Below are 17606 nucleotides of genomic sequence, written 5' to 3'. Positions count from 1 at the left end.
GGATGGGAGATACTGGGAGATAAGGCTGAAAAGTAATAGGAACTACAGTTATTGAATATAGCACATCCAGGTGCATAAAAGTGAGAGTTCCACTCAACTCCAAGTAGGTCAGGGAACAACTGGAATATTCTTTTCTCCATTGGGCACACACTGCAAATTACATTAAAAAAAAAAAACGCTTCCAGTAGCAACAGAATAATGATGAGTTAAAAAAAATGACATAAGAAAACTAGGGAGATTTCTCTTTGAAAAGAACTCAGAAGATAGGGAGGCAGTGCGGGTTCTGGCTTCAAATCTCAATTTCACTCCTCACTGATGGACAATATTGGACATTGGCGATATTGACAATTACAATTTCTTTCTCTTTTTCTTTTTTCTTTTTTTTTTGAGACGGAGTCTCACTCTGTCGGCCAGGCTGGAGTGCAGTGGCGCGATCTCGGCTCACTGCAAGCTCTGCCTCCCGGGTTCACACCATTCTCCTGCCTCAGCCTCCCGAGTAGCTGGGATTACAGGCATGTGCCACCACGCCCAGCTAATTTTTTTGTTTTGTATTTTTAGTAGAAATGGGGTTTTACCTTATTAGCCAGGCTGGTCTCGAACTCCTGACCTCAGGTGATCTGCCCGTCTCGGTCTCCCAAAGTGAATATTGGCAATTTCTTATGCTTCCATGTCTTCATCTGTAGAATGGGAGTAGTAATAATGTTTACTTCATATGTTGTTGTGAAGGTTAAATAAACACATATAAAAGCTTTAATAATGTCATTTCAAATTTCTCAATTAATATTAGCTATATTATCTTAACTACAGTCAAACACTTTGAGAATTGTTAGAAGGATAAGTTAGATTTAGTCTTGGATGGAGCCTTTAAAATAGGATCCACAGTGGAAATTTCAGGAAGAAAGATTTGAGCTCTGAGACATAAAATTGGAACAGGCTGCCTTTGGGGGGTGTAGTGTATTTCCTATTTCCTGTGATTTTTAAGTCAAGACTGGCTAGTCACATGGTAAATAGGTTAGGTGAGAGTGGATGAGCTAAATTTGAAATACCTTTCAATTTTGGATTCCTATATTCTACTTCAAGGCGACTGCTATCAACCAATAGGCTTTACTTCTCACATGTCTTATATACTAATGAATGTACCCCATCTTCACCTAAACTGAGGCTCCTCGATGATGAGATCACTGTCAGATTCATTACTATTTATCTTTTTATTTCCAGCATTTTAGCACCTTACACATGGTAGGGGCTCAATACTCTGTGTTTAAATAATTAAATATACACTCTTGTACCAAAGGTTGTTTTCCAGGAAATCATGCAGCCTACCTGTCCTTGCCAATAAAACCCTCATATCAGGTGTCCCTGAAGGAATCATGGGACATATATTATGCCATTTAATTCTTTCACTTGTGAGTTGCTGCTAGTAGTTAGATAGATTTTACAGAATGATTCTATAAAAGTTAGTTCAGAAAGGTAGATGCTCAACACAACCACTGGTGGATCCCAGCCTACTTAAACTCCAGATTCTTAGGGTCTAGTTTCTCAGTTAGAACCCTGATCAAGTATTAGAGAGGCAATCAGTCAACATTATTGAATGCTAGGAGCTAAAATCAGAAAAAAAAAACAAGAAAAAATCCCTAGTTGTTATACACTAAAATGTAGAAAGTGAGAAATAAACATTACTTCTCTTCCTTAGAAAAATAGATGTTTCCTAATATTGTGGACTAAAATTATCAAAACCAAACTTGGTGAAATCAGTTAGAATAAGCAAGGCAGATTAAGGGTCTTGGATAAAAAGGCGAAAGGAGACCATTAGAGACACAAGTGGGTCATCTGCATCGAGGTGGTGGTGTTAGGGAGTCCAAAAATATGCAATAGGCAGATGGTTTAGCAAGATGTCAGGATATATAGTGAGTGGAGTCTAGCCACCAGCAAAAATTATGCAAAGTTACAACTAAGAATCAAAGTTTCACTTTACTAACAGCTTCAAGACTGCTAGGCACTCCAGTAAAGAGTTTTTATAAAGTAAAGTGGATGCACAGAGTTCCTTCATTATCCACAATATAAATCTCATAGTTTTCTAATTTTCACCCTCAGGCTAGAGAGATGTTAAGAGGAGGAGGGAAGTAAAGTAGTAGCAGGGTCTGCAGAGCAGAAGAGGTAGGTAGGAAAGAAAGAAAGAGAAAAAGAAAGAAAGAAGGAAGGAAGGAAGGAAGGAAGGAAGGAAGGAAGGAAGGGACAGGGAGTGAGGGAGGGAGGGAGAGGCATTCAACACACAATGCTCATACTCAGTAAAAGCCTGGCCTGATTATGTATTGGATTCTGGGCATTCATTCAACACGTGTTGAATACACTCCATTACACTCATACAAAACGTGTTTTGTTAAGTTTCTTCCATGTGTCAGGTGCTGCAGGTTAAAATGACTACACAAAGTACCATAACCTCATCAAGTTTACTATCTAGTGGGGACAGGGAACAAGTTAGGGTGTGGAATTCAGCTCCCACTATTATCCATCTGCTTATTTTAAAGCCATCTAGTAGCCATGAAGTAATGTATTTGAACCAATAGATCCACCTTTAGTAATTGCTAAAGTCAGTCTGACTCCTCCCTGTAAATTACTGCTGCTTTAAAATTCACTAAACTATAGCTAGATCATCAGACTGAAATGATGTTTGAAACTTTCTGAAGCTTTACTGAAATTGTTTTAGGTTTCTCCCAGAGGCTGTAAGAACAGTAGTAAAATTATAAGTAGTTTTTTACAATCTGTAACTAAATACAGACTGTAAAAATGATTAATTTTTTTAATATTCTTAGTGTTTCAGGACTATTATATTAATAAGGCCATCATGCATCACTGTTGTATTCCAACAGAACTATTAGTCTCCGTACTATGTTAGTGTAATTACAGCCTAATGGTTTACAACATTATAAAAGCACTAAATATTTTACTAAACTGAGTATAGTATATAAAAATTAATTCAAAAGTTTCCAGGCTTAAAGCGATAGAATCAATGATGGAAAAAAGTTTTTCTCATTTTGTATAAGAAAACAAAGGCATCAAAGGGGAATGCTAAAAAATAATCTGAATTGTAATGAGAATACAGGTAATTAAAATAAAAATCTAAATGACATCTTATTGTATTTTGATTCCATCATATAAATCAATTATTTTTGTTAATGAAGGGAGAGAACAATGTTTCTAAGAAGGTACAATTTAGAACGTTTTTCCTTTTGTGTGGATTTGACAACTTATTTGTGAGAGATGAGAGAAAACATCCATGTAATAATGGTAAGATTAAACATACAATATGTACTTCACAAGCAGACCAGATGATTGGTGAACTTTTAATGATAGTTTTACAGACTTTAACACCAAATACTTAAATAAGAAATCTCTCGGCATGGTGACATATAAGTATTCAGTAAAAATGGGTTCATCGACTGGATGGTATTTGCGAGAAGAGAAATTAGGGAGAAAAAGTTCTGCCTGTTAAATAAGGTTAATAACAAATTGCCATGATAATAAACACCCTAATTTTTAATATAACATTTAACACAGCAGAACTATAATTAATGCTTCTTTCACTTACTCAAGTTCATTTAGTTGCCTTGAAGGATTCTGCACATTTTTATCAATTCTTTAAAACACTGCGTATAGAAATCTTTCTTTCTCTCTTACAAGATTTTATCCTTAACGTTAGTTTTGTTACTACACAGCCTAACCTCATTCAAAATCTGGTTCTCATTTATTTTGTGTGATTTACCTAAGTCAGTTCTATATATTAATTTGCAAATGTGCGCCACCTCTATGGTTTAGGAGGTTTCAAATCATAATCCACCTTTAATTATTTACTTCAAGGGGAAATTTTTATTAATGTTCCTGTGAATTCAAAATAGCTCCCCTAGTATGGGTGGATACCAGAAATGACTGACTGTGATTGCCTTTTATACACCTAATTCAATTGCTAAAGCCCTCTGCAATAGTTCTTTAGCTCTGTGGGCAGTGTATTCTTTGCAGCATTAGCAAGAAGTTAATGCTTGTTCTTCAAAGAGCACTTTCAAACAGAGTGTAGAAGGGTGGTCACCAGGGATCGGGGTGGGAAAAATAGCAAATGTTGGTCAACGTGTACAGGCTTGCAGTCACAAGGTGGATAAGTTCTGGAAACCTAATCTATAGCATAGCAACTATAGTTAGCATTAACATATCGTACATTTGAAACTTGCTAAGAGTTGATCTAAGTATGTTCACCACACACACAAAAAGTAACTGTGAGGTGATAGATAGGTTAAGTAGCTTGATGGTGGTAATCATTTTACAAGGTATACGTACATTGAAACATCATATTATATACTTTGAATATATTCATTTTTTTGTCATTAACACCTCAGTAAAGCTGAAAATAAACTAATGAATTTTTTTGAAAAGCAGTTTCACCTCTCCAACATGGAGGTGGGAGGAAATTCCAGAACATTCAGCTCCAACTTAGGCTCTATCCTAGGCCCTTGGAGAAAGAAATTGACACTGAAGAGCTTGTATGAACCATTTTGACCAACTAAAAAAATTCCTTCTCCGGATAGCAAATTGAAGCAGAGTATTCCTCATTTTCTTTCAAATCCAGTAAGAAAAGGATTAAACAGTTTGCGGTCTCTACTGGAGAAATAGTGTTAGGTGGTAAGAAATATAATGGCTAGTGAACTATCGGCCATTATTTTTTGAGCTTTCATCCTAGCCAGCCCTTCTGCTAACTAGCTGGAAAGCAGTAGTCCCTTCACCTTGCTGAGTTACATGCTCAGATAGAGCTTAGATGGAGCACTCACTTAGGTGCAGCACTACCTCCATCTAACACGTAGAGTGTATGAAAAGATGACTTGTAGCTAAGATCTAATTAAGCTTTTGACTATAATTGTTCATTTTCATTATTTTCACTGGAAATCAGCAAACCAAAACTTGCCATTATGCTTATCACATATTTTATTCTTTCTCATTGCTAAAGCTCACGGTGAATTAAAATGTTAATTTCAAGGAAAATAATTTAATAATCTGAGATTTTGTTGCATTTTCTTGTTCTTTTTTATATATACTTTAAGTTATGGGATAAATATGCAGGACGTGCAGGTTTGTTACATAGTTATACAGGTGCCATGGTGGTTTGCTGCACCCATCAACCCGTCATCTACATTAGTTATTTCTGCTAATGCTATCCCTCGTCTACTCCCCCACCCCATCACAGGCCCCGGTGTGTGATGTTTCCCTCCCTGTGTCCACGTGTTCTCATTGTTCAACTCCCACTTATGAGGGAGAACATGCAGTGTTTGGTTTTCTGTTCCTGTGTTAGATTGCTGAGAGTGATGGTTTCCACCTTCATCCATGTCCCTGCAAAGGACATGAACTCATCCTTTTTTATGGCTGCATAGTATTCCATGGTGTATATTTGCCCCATTTTCTTTCCCCAGTCCTTCATTGATGGGCATTTGAGTTGGTTCCAAGTCTTTGCTGTTGTGAACAGTGCTGCAATAAACATGCTTGTGCATGTGTCTTTATAGTGGAATGATTTATAATCCTTTGGGTATACACCCAGTAATGGGATTGCCGGGTCAAATGGTATTTCTGATTCTAGATCCTTGAGGAATCACCACACTGTCTTCCACAATGGTTGAACTAATTTACAATCCCACCACAGTGTAAAAGTGTTCCTATTTCTCCACATCCTCACCAGGATCTGTTGTTTCCTGACTTTTTAATGTTGCCATTCTAACTGGCGTGAGATGGTATCTTACTGTGGTTTTGATTTGCATTTCTCTAATGACCAGTGATGATGAGATTTTTTTCATATGTTTGTTGGCCTCATAACAAACATATGTTGGTTTGTTGGTTTGTTGGTTTGTTATAGACCAACATAACAAACATGTGTTGGTCTTCTTTTGAGAGGTGTCTGTTCATGCCCTTTCCCTACTTTTTGATGGGGTTGTTAATTTTTTTCTTGTAAATTTGTTTAAGTTCTTCATAGATTCTGTGTATTAGCTCTTTGTCTGATGGGTAGATTGCAAAAATTTTCTCCAATTCTGTAGGTTGCCTGTTCACTCTGATGCTAGTTTCTTTTGCTGTGCAGAAGCTCTTTACTTTACTGAGATCCCATTTCTCAACTTGAGCTTGTGTTGCCATTGCTTTTGGTGTTTTAGTCATGAAGTCTTTGCCCATGCCTATGTCCTGAATGGTATTGCCTAGGTTTTCTTCTAGGGTTTTTATGGTTTCAGGTTTTACATTTAAGTCTTTAATCCATCTTGAGTTAATTTTTCTATAAGGTGTAAGGAAGGGATCCAATTTCAGTTTTCTGCATATGGCTAGCCAGTTTTCCCACCACCATTTATTAAATAGGGAATTCTTTCCCTGTTGCTTGTTTTTGTCAGTTTGTCAAAGATCAGATGGTTGTAGATGTGTGGTATTATTTCTGAGGCCACTCTTCTGTTCCACTGGTCTATATATCTGTTTTGGTACCAGTACCATGCTGTTTTGGTTACTGTAGCCTTGAAGCACAGTTTGAAGTCAGGTAGCGTGATGCCAGCTTTGTTCATTTGCTTAGGATTGTCTTGGTTATAAGGGCTCTTTTCTGGTTCCATATGAAATTTAAAGTAGTTTTTTCTAATTCTGTGAAGAAAGTCAATGGTAGCTTGATGGGGATAGCATTGAATGTATAAATTACTTTGGGCAGTATGGCCGTTTTCATTATATTGATTCTTTCTATCCATGAGCATGGAATGTTTTTCCATTTGTTTGTGCTATCTCTTATTTCCTTGAGCAGTGGTTTGTAGTTCTCCTTGAAGAGGTCCTTCTCATCCCTTGTAAGTTGTATTCCTAGGGATTTTATTCTCTTTATAGTAATTGTGAATGCGAGTTCACTCATGATTTGGCTCTCTGTCTATTATTGGTGTATAGGAATGCTTGTGATTTTTGCACATTGATTTTGTATCCTGAGACCTTGCTGAAGTTGCTTAACAGTTTAAGGAGATTTTGAGCTGAGATGATGGGGTTTTCTAAATATACAATCATGTCATCTGCAAACAGAGACAATTTGACTTCCTCTCTTCCTATTTGAATACCCTTTATTTCTTTATCTTGCCTGATTGCCCTGGCCAGAACTTCCAATACTATGTTAAATAGGAGTGGTGAGAGAGGGCATCCTTGTCTTGTGCTGGTTTTCAAAGGCAATGCTTCCACCTTCTGCCCATTCAATATGATATTGGCTGTGGGTTTCTCATAAATAGCTCTTATTATTTTGAGATATGTTCCATCAATACCTAGTTTATTGAGAGTTTTTAGCATGAAGTGGTGTTGAATTTTATCGAAGGTCTTTTCTGTATGTATTGAGATAATAATGTGTTTTTTGTCATAGGTTGTGTTTATGTGATGGTATACGTTTATTGATTTGCATATGTGGAACCAGCCTTGCATCCCAGGAATGAAGCCAACTTGATTGTGGTGGATAAGCTTTTTGATGTGCTGCTGGATTCTATTTGCCAGTATTTTATTGAGAATTTGCATATCAATGTTCATCAGGGATATTGGCCTGAAATTTTCTTTTTTTTGTTGTGTCTCTGTCAGGTTTTGGTATCAGGATAATGCTGGCCTCATAAAATGGGTTAGAGAGGATTCCCTCTTTTTCTATTGTTTGGAATAGTTTCAGAAGGAACAGTACCAGCTCCTCTGTACCTCTCATAGAATTTGGCTGTCTCAATTTCAGAATTTGTTATTGATCTATTCAGGGATTCGACTTCTTCCTGGTTTAATCTTGGGAGGGTATATGTTTCCGGGAATTTATCTATTTCTTCTAGATTTTCCAGTTTATTTGCATAAAGGTGTTTACACTATTCTTTGATGATAGTTTGTACTTCTGTGGGAACAGTGGTGATACCCCCTTTATCATCTTTTATTGTGTCTATTTGATTCTTCTCTCTTTTCTTCTTTATTAGTCTGGCTAGCGAGCTATCTATTTTGTCAATCTTTTCAAAAAACCAGCGCCTGAATTCATTGAGTTTTTGAAGGATTTTTCGTGTCTCTATCTCCTTCAGTTCTGTTCTGATCTTAGTTATTCGTTGTCTTCTGCTGGCTTTTGAATTTGTTTGCTCTTGCTTTTCTAGTTATTTTAATTGTGATGTTAGGGTGTCGATTTTAGATCTTTCCCACTTCCTCTTGTGGGCATTTAATGCTATAAATTTCCCTGTAAACACTGCTTCAGCTGTGTCCCAGAGATTCTGGTATGTTGTGTCTTTGTTCTCACTGGTTTCAAAGAACTTATTTATTTCTGCCTTAATTTCGTTTTTTACCCAGTAGTTATTCAGGAGCAGGTTGTTCAGTTTCCATGTAGTTATATGGTTTTGAGTGAGTTTCTTAATCTTGAGTTCTAATTTGATTGCACTCTGGTCTGAGAGACTGTTTGTTATGATTTCTGTTCTTTTGCATTTGCTAAGGAGTGTTTTACTTCCAATTATGTGGTCAATTTTAGAATAAGTGTGGTGTGTTGCTGAGAAGAATGTATATTCTGTTGATTTGGGGTGGAGAATTCTGTAGATGTCTGTTAGGTCCACTTGGTCCAGAGCTGAGTTCAAGTCCTGAATATCCTTGTTAATTTTCTGTCTCATTGATCTGTCTAAAATCGACAGTGGGGTGTTGAAGTCGCCCACTATTATTGTGTGTGAGTCTAAGTCTCTTTGTAGGTCTCTATGAGCTTTCTTTATGAATCTGGGTGCTCCTGTATTGGGTGCATATATATTTAGGATAGTTAGTTCTTCTTGTTCCATTGATCCCTTTACCATTATGTAATGCCCTTCTTTGTCTTTTTTTAATCTTTATTGGTTTAAAGTCTGTTTTATCAGAGACTAGGATTGAAACCCCTGCTTCTTTTTTTTTTTTTTTTTTTTTTTGCTTTGCATTTGCTTAGTAAATATTCCTCTATCCCTTTATTTTGAGCCTATGTGTGCCTTTGCCCATGAGATGGGTCTCTTGAATACATCACACTGATGAGTCTTCACCGTTTATCCAATTTGCCAGTCTGTGTCTTTTAATTGGGGCATTTAGCCCATCTACATTTAAGGTTAATATTGTTATGTGTGAATTTGACCCTGTAATTATGATGCTAGCTGATTATTTTGCCCATTAGTTGATGCAGTGTCTTCATAGTGTCAATGGTCTTTACAATTTGGTATGCTTTTGCAGTGGCTGGTACAAGTTTTTCCTTTCCATATTTAGTGCTTCCTTCAGGAGCTCTTGGAAGGCAGTCCTGGTGATGACAAAATCTCTCAGTGTTTGCTTGTCTGTAAAGGATTTTATTTCTGCTCTGCTTATGAAGCTTAGTTTGGCTGGATATGAAATTCTGGGTTGAAAATTTTTTTCTTCAAGAATGTCGAATATTGGCTTGTAGGGTTTCTGCTGAAAGATCCACTGTTAGTCTGATGGGCTTCCCTTTGTGGGTAACCCAATCTTTCTCTCTGGCTGCCCTTAACATTTTTTCCTTCATTTCAACCTCAGTGAATTTGTTAAGTATGTGTCTTGGGGTTGCTCTTCTGAAGGGGTATCTTTGTGGTGTTCTCTGTATTTCCTGAATTTGAATGTTGGCCTGTCTTGCTAGGTTAGGGAAGTTCTCCTGGATAATATCTTGAAGATTGTTTTTCAACGTGGTTCCATTCCCCCCGTCACATTCAGGAACACCAATCATATGTAGGTTTGGTCTTTTCTCATAGTCCCATATTTCTTGGAGACTTTGTTCACTTCTTTTCATTCTTTTTTTTCTAATCTTGTCTTCATGCTTTATTTCATTAAGTTGATCTCAATCTCTGATATCCTTTCTTCTGCTTGATCAATTTGGCTACTGATACTTCTGTATGCTTCACGAAATTCTCATGCTATGTTTTTCAGCTCCATCAGGTCATTTATGTTCTTCTCTAAACCGGTTATTCTAGTTAGCAATTCATCTAAACTTTTTTGAAGTTCTTAGCTTCCTTGCATTGGGTTAGAACATGCTCCTTTAGCTTGGAGGAGTTTGTTATTACCTACCTTCTGAAGCCTACTTCTGTCAATTTGTCAAACTCATTCTCTGTCCAGTTTTGTTCCCTTGCTGTTGAGGAGTTGTTATCCTTTGGAGGAGAAGAGGCATTCTGGTTTTTGGAATTTTCAGCTTTTTGCACTGGTTTTTCCTCATCTTCGTGGATTTATCTATCTTTGGTCTTCGATGTTGGTGAACTTCAGATGGGATTTCTGTGTGGACATCCTTTTTGTTGACGTTGATGCTATTCCTTTCTGTTTGTTAATTTTCCTTCTAACAGTGAGGCCCCTCTGCTGCAGGTCTGCTGGAGTTTGCTGGAGGTCCACTCCAGACCCTGTTTTCCTGGGTATCACCAGCAGAGGCTGCAGAACAGCAAAGATTGGTGCCTGTTCCTTCCTCTGGAAGCTTCGACCCAGAGGGGCACCTGCCAGATGCCAGCCACAGCTCTCCTGTGTGAGGAGTCTCTCGACCCCTGCTGGGAGGTGTCTCCCAGTCAGGAGGCACTGGGCTCAGGGACCCACTTGAGGAGGCAGTCTGTCCCTTAGCAGAGCTCAAGCACTGTGCTGGGAGATTCATTGCTCTCTTCAGAGATGGGAGGCAGGAACATTGAAGTCTGCTGAAGCTGTGCCTACAGCTGCCCCTTCCCCAAGTTGCTCTGTACCAGGGAGATGGGAGTTTTATCTATAAGCTTCTGACTGGGACTGCTGCCTTTCTTTGAGGGATGCCCTGCCCAGAGAGGGGGAATCTAGAGAGGCAGTCTGGCTACAGCAGCTTTGCTGGGCTACGCTGGGCTACGTTGGGTTCCGCCCAGTTTGAACTTCCACGTGGCTTTGTTTACACTGTGTGGGGAAAACCTCCTACTCAAACCTCAGTAATGGCTGATGCTCCTCCCCCAACCAAGCTCGAGCATCCCAGGTTGACTTCATACTGCTCTGCTGGCAGTGAGAATTTCAAGCCAGTAGATCTTAGCTTGCTGGGCTCCATGGAGATGGGATCCCCTGAGCTAGACTACTTGGCTCCCTGGCTTCAGCCCTGTTTCCAGGGGAGTGATTGGTTCTGTCTTGCTGGCGTTCCAGGCACCACTGGGGTATGAAAAAAAAACTCCTGCAGCTAGCTCAGTGTCTGCCCAAATAGCCACCCAGTTTTTGCTGGAAACCCAGGGCCCCGGTGGTGTAAGCATCCAAGGGAATCTCCTGGTCTGTGAGTTGTGAAGACCATGGGAAAAGCGTAATATCTGGGCTGGAGTGCACCATTCCTCATGGCACAGTCCCTCACGGCTTTCCTTGGCTAGGGGAGGTAGTTCCCCAACCCCTTGAGCTTCCTGGGTGAGGCGATGCCCCCACCCTGCTTCACCTCACCCTCTGTGGGCTGCACCCACTGTCTAACTCGTCCCAGTGACATGAGCCCCATACCTCAGTTGGAAATGCAGGAATCACCCCCACCTTCTCTGCTGATCTCACTGGGGGCTGCAGACTGGAGCTGTTCCTATTCGGCCATCTTGCCAGCCACCCCGAATTTTCTTGTTCTTTAAAAATAAATTAGACTTATGCAAAATGAGTTTCTAAGTTGGCTCAAAATTTAGATTATCATGTATAATATGATAATTATCATGTATAATTCATTTGTGTACCTTTTATGACAATATTCTAATAGGTCTTAAGATGCCTTACAGTACCTCCAACTTATGTGTTGCTAATACCTTGCATGACAGGTTCCCTTCTAAGCAGAGCTGACTGGGTGAGGAACGTGCAGCATATGTCTTCAAAGCCAACAAGAACGCACTCTAGGACTGAGGATGAACCACTCAAGATCAGTATTTGTTGATTAGATTTGAAAGAAACTCATACAATAGTCTAGGGAGAGGTGTTTAAACACCTGAATTTATCTCACATCTTTAAAGCAATAACCTAATTTTTAGCAACAGTAGCTCTTTCACAGGTGTACAAAGAATGTTTACTTCCATTGTACTAATTAGTTTTAAATTGAGAAAACATTTAGTAACTAGAAAAACAAAGAAGCTCCTATTTTTCTAGGACAGAAATAACAGGAAAAGGAGAACAAGACTAACTACAATATTCAGCTTAACATTTCAAATTTTTTCATCGACTTCACTAAGCAATGTCTATTTTGTTTTGTTTTTCAAAAAGCACAATTCCCAGGTGTAACTAAAATAGTAAATATGTACACTTACTTTGCTAAGAAATAATTAAAGATGTCATTTGCTGACAAAAACAAATGTATGCCTAATATATAAATGTATGCTTGTTATTTTTGGTTAAATAAATATTTGTTCATGCCTTATTTTGGGATGTAGTTCTCTTCTAATACACCAGGAGAAAACTCTGAATTAAGGAATAACTCATCTTTTCTGCTAAAAAATTTAATAGCCTCTGCTTCAATTGACTTTAATAAGTTATAAAAAAATACTGCATTTTCTTTTTCAATTGCAACAATAATGTGATAAAATAAATTACTACTTTAAAATGCATAGCACTGTATACCTTCCGAGCAAAAAAAAAGGCATCTATTATACACAACATGCACTGACAGGAGTAGGTCTTTGATAAAAAAACACATTGTAAAGTGCATTTTTTGCACCTAATGATTTAAATCAAAATGTAAGTAAAACTCACTCTGCTTACATTTTTCTTTTCCTCTCCCCAATCCCCATGGTACTTTTCTTCATGCTAAATAACCCAAATTTCTTTAGCTTTTCCTCAAAGGACCCATTTTCTAAACTAATCATTTTTAGTCATTCTCTTTGGAACTCCCTCCAAGATTTCTACATCTTGTTTCAAACAAAAGTCCCACAATTAGATCGTGTCCTCCCATAAAAACGTGATAAATGCTGATCATAGAAGGAACTCTTTAGGGTGGCTCCTTCTCACACATGGAAAGAGTCTTGATCTGACAACTTTATTAACCATTAGCAAGCTGCTATGATTTGAATGTTCCACCCAAACTCATGCTGAAATTTAATTGTCATTGTAACAGTATTAAGAGGTGGGGCATTTAAGAGGTGATTAGGCCATGAGGGCTCTACCCTCTTGAAGAGATTACTGCTGTTATCACAGGAATAGGTTAGTTATTGAAGGAGTGTGTTCTTGATAAAAAGGATTAGTTCAGATCAATGTTTCTCTCTGACTCATGGACTTACTTCTGCCTTCCATACTTCTGCCATGGGATGACCCTTGCTGGATGCCAGTGCCATGCCCTTGGACTTCCCAGCCTCCAGAACTGTGAGCCACATAAACGTTTGTTTTTTATAAATGACCCAGTCTGTAGTATTCCGTTATAGCAGTAGGAAACAGACAGGACACAAGCTAACACCTCCTCTGAATCGATTACTTGGTGATGGGGTAGAGTACCTAATTCTTTATTTCTCAAACACCTGTGTGTCAAGTCCTGTGCTAGACACTTTAACTGCCTTTTGAAATATTAAACACTGCTATTAATCCTGTTATGAAAAGAGGTTAAGTAATCTCACCAAAGCCATAGAACCTATCAGTGGGAAAGTAGAGATGTGATTATAGGTTTAACTAAGTCTAAAGCTCACCATTACAACAAATATTCTTAATAGTTTCTGATGGGGTTCACACCATAACATGCCAGTCTGTCACAGAATTGTTTTGAGCTAAAGGTGACTGAGAAATATCAGACACAGAACAAGCTCTCTGCCCTCCATCTCTCTATTAGGAAAGGCAAGATGATTGTTAATCACTGAAGACAATTCTATTCTCCTATCAGCCCAGAGGTGGGACCAGAGAAACCTATATAGCACATCTAACTAGTCCTTATTTTCCTTTGAGTTAGTTTCCCCATATGTTTACCTTTCTGCAGTTTACTGCCTCTAGAAGCTCAAAATTCCTTTCCTTTGTCTTGTTATTTCTCTACAAATTTATTATTTTTTACTAAGATGTTATATAAGCCCAAGTTTTAACCACCCCTTTGAGGTACTTATTGCTGAGTTCTCCCACATGTGTGTGATGCATATGTTAATAAACTTCTGTTTGTTTTCTCTTGTTAATCTGTCTTTTGTCAGTCTGATTTGCAGGACCTTAGCTGGAGAAACTAAAGGTAAAAAAAAACACATTTTTTCCCCTAAAATTCTCATTTTTAGTAACAGAGAAAATCCTACAGGAAATCCTCAACACTGAGAGCAAGTGCTGAAACTTTCCATGGTGAGAATGATTTCGTTGGGCTGGTCAGTGCTCATTGTTTTGCACCCCAAACACATCAGGAGAGGCACTGGCATAGAAGCAAAGTGCCTGAACCCTGGTGAGCATTTCCAAGGTAAGGATAAGCAAATGCTGCTCTGGTGCCCTCCCATGGACAGTATTATGTGAGAAGACACAGGCAGAAGGGCAACCACCTGAGTAGTGACTCAAGAGTTTAAATCCATGCACAACGAGACTGCGTGGTAATTTAGCGAAGGACAACAGATTAGGCGATTCATCTGGTCAACAAGTTAATGTGCTGACATTTTTAAGTACATTCTATGATGTTTGCACAATGATGAAATGGTTGAATGACACATTTCTCAGAAGGTACCCTTGTCATTAAATGATGCGTGACTGTATATATGTTGCTGTCCGTTATGTATTTTAGTAACATGTACTAAAACAATAAAAATAAAATAAAAAATGTGGAGAGTCTGTGAAACACTTCAAACGAATATTAGAAATCAAAATACCTCTTTTTGATAAAAAGGTGTTTGATCATTTAATCATTTGTGCTCTGCTTATCTGTTGCTCATGATATTTTGAATTGTTACATGATAAAGGTAAAAGGTATTGATAAACATAGGCTAATAGTATTTTGGATCAGAAAGACAACTATCAGCCACTTAATTTTACAAATGAGATAACTGAGGTTATAAGCCGTTAGAGAGAATTTTTTTTATTCATTTTATTTAGAGACTTAGCCCAATATAAACAAGATGATACATAACTCAATTTTAAAAGAAACTCAACAAAATGCATACTTTGAATTACATTGTAAATGATTTCAAGATTATCATAAGGCATTTTTTTAAATAAAAATGTTGTAATCATTAGCCCTTAGTCCTTCTTTAATACCAAAATAAATTTCTGACTAACAGCATATATATTTGTAGGTACCTATCTCCCCTGAATGACAGATGGAAAAGTAATGCAGACATTTATGACATATCCACCTGGTTTTTTCTGCAGTATCATTGCAGTGAGGTCCATTTTATCTAATAAAAAAAAAAGACTAAGCATTTTTCAAACTTTTGTCTCTCATTTAATTTCTTTAGCTATGTTAGTGTTCTTTCTTTAAATTACTAAATTTCTTAGATTCAAGATCTTTTTTTGTATTATTCAAAATTAATAAAATTGATGATTCATGATGGAAGCAGAAGCAACTTTCAGATTCAGTGTTTGGTTTACAAATTCCTCCTGATTTATAAACCATTCAGACTGAACCACTGCCTGGAGCTTTCCATTTTGTTGCTGTTCTCCTCTGTCTTGCCCATGTTTGCTGCGTCTTAGCTCTTGATACCCCCACTCTTCAAGTCTTTGCAGTACTCTGAGTGTCCTTTTCCTACATCTTCTGTCCACTCTTTCATAGTACTCTTTTCCTGAGTTATCATGATTCTCTCTCTTCATGGCCAAACACCATGAAGCTCTCAGTGTTTAAAAGAGGGCCTTGGGAGTGAAACTGGATTTGAATTAGTCTGTACCACTTTGTAAATGTGTGACTTGGAGAAATGTTTAACCTCTCTTTGCTTGATTTTCTCATTTGAAAATAGCAATAATAGTAGTACCTATTTCACATGATTGGGATAATTACATAAGTTGATCCATTTCTAGTTCATAGAAGAATGTTAGCGTATATTCATTGCTCAGTAATCCATAAATTATCATCATTAGTATTATTTCTGATTATTCTTTCTTAACATAATCAGGAAGCAAATGAACCCTTACATAAATATTTACTTTTAATTCACTTTTATTAATCCCTTCAAACTTTTGTACCCCCAAATAAGCGTGGCCCCATGTGGTCTAATCTCTAAATGGTATATATAAAAAAGAAGCAATCTTTAAGAGGGGGAAAAAAAAACCTTGAAAAGAATTTTGATTTTTACCTGAAAAATTTCCGGAGAATTTGAGTTTGGAAGAGGGAGTATGTTATTCCTATGGAGCAAAACATCTTGAAATTCCTTTCTCTCCACCTCTGCCATTCTCAATATTATTCCCATTGATGGCAGCTGCTCTTTCACATCTTTTGTCTTTATCACTGTATTTTTACAATCCTCAAGATTTCCTATGCCTAGAATGCCAGATTCTTTATTCCACCAGCTCAACACACCTTCTCTTATATATATATATTTGCATTCTGCTTGTCCAGTTGTTCTTGAGCATATTTGCAAACTGAAAAGACATGAGGTGTGTTTAAAATGCTGATATCTTAGCTCAACTTTCAGAAATTTTGCAGTGTGGTTATGTGACACCATACTGTTTCAGTCATAATAATAATGTTTAAGTCAGCAACAGACAGCATTATATGTTGGTGGTCCCATAGGCTTATAATACTGTATTTTGCTGTGCCTTTTTTTATGTCTAAATATATCTAGGTACACAAATACTTACCATTGCATTACAATTGTCTACAGTATTGAGTACAGTAATATGCGGCACAGCTTTGTAGCCCAGGAGCAATAGACTAAACCACATAGCCTAGCTGTGTAGTAGGCTATACCATACTACATACTAGAGTTGTGTAAGTAGACACTGTCATGTTCACCCTTCAGTGAAATGCCTAATGATGCATTTCTCAGAATATATACTCATCATTGAGTGGCACCTGACTGTAATTGGCCTACGCATTGGAATTTTTCAAAGTTCTCTGGGTGATTTTAATATCCAGCCAGGGTTAAGAACCACTAGTTATTCTTTCTCCTCCTCTCGTCAGTGTAAATCTTCTAGTTTTTTCCTTTCTTCCCACACCAAAGCTCATGATAAAGTTCAGAAGCTGGGAGTGAGGAAATGTCAAGTGTTCAATGCCAGAATTTTCCTTAGGGAGACTGAGACAGGAAACAAACTCTGGATATTTATTCGTGTGAGATTTTGTCACTATTATACTTTCCCTCTTTTCTTTGATCCCTGAGGACCTAGGCCCTTTCTCTCCCTTATCTCTGCCACCTCTATTCATTGGCTGGAGCTCTCACACAACCAATGATTTGCTGAAGCACTGTTCAGATTCCCTCAGGAAACCTTATTCTGGTTGCCTCTATGGGTAAGTGACCCACATTCATAATGATGCTCGGATTTTGTAAAGGTCTTTATATAAAACCAAAGTATGTGTTTTGAAAAACAGCTAAGGTGCAAGTTTGAATAGTCTGTACTGGGGTGAGGCCAGGATAGGGACTCACTGTCTTCCATTTATTATCTGTGTAAGTTTGGGCATCACCTGCAAAATAGGGTTGATGACATTTTATCTGCTATACCACTGTATGGTAGAGATAAATTAAATCATCATTTCATGTCTATTTCAGTTTTCTGTTTTTCGTTTTTTGAGACAGAGTTTCTCTCTTACTGCCCAGGCT

At 37.7% G+C, this 17606-nt stretch overlaps 1 long non-coding RNA gene across 1 annotated transcript in view; it reads right to left on the bottom strand.

Moving 5' to 3' along the window:
• Window positions 1–597: 597 nt before the first annotated feature.
• The window catches only part of LOC101928219 (uncharacterized), a 182425-nt gene continuing 165416 nt past the window's right edge, over window positions 598–17606 (bottom strand). Inside the window, exon 4 of the long non-coding RNA XR_001738162.2 lies at window positions 598–677. This is a non-coding gene — a long non-coding RNA (uncharacterized LOC101928219). The remainder of the gene's footprint in view (window positions 678–17606) is intronic.

This window comes from Homo sapiens, chromosome 1 (genome assembly GCF_000001405.40).
Source record: "Homo sapiens chromosome 1, GRCh38.p14 Primary Assembly".
Lineage (NCBI taxonomy): Eukaryota > Metazoa > Chordata > Mammalia > Primates > Hominidae > Homo > Homo sapiens.
Note: the sequence above shows the minus strand (reverse complement) of the source record. Positions and strands in the feature narration are given on the sequence as shown.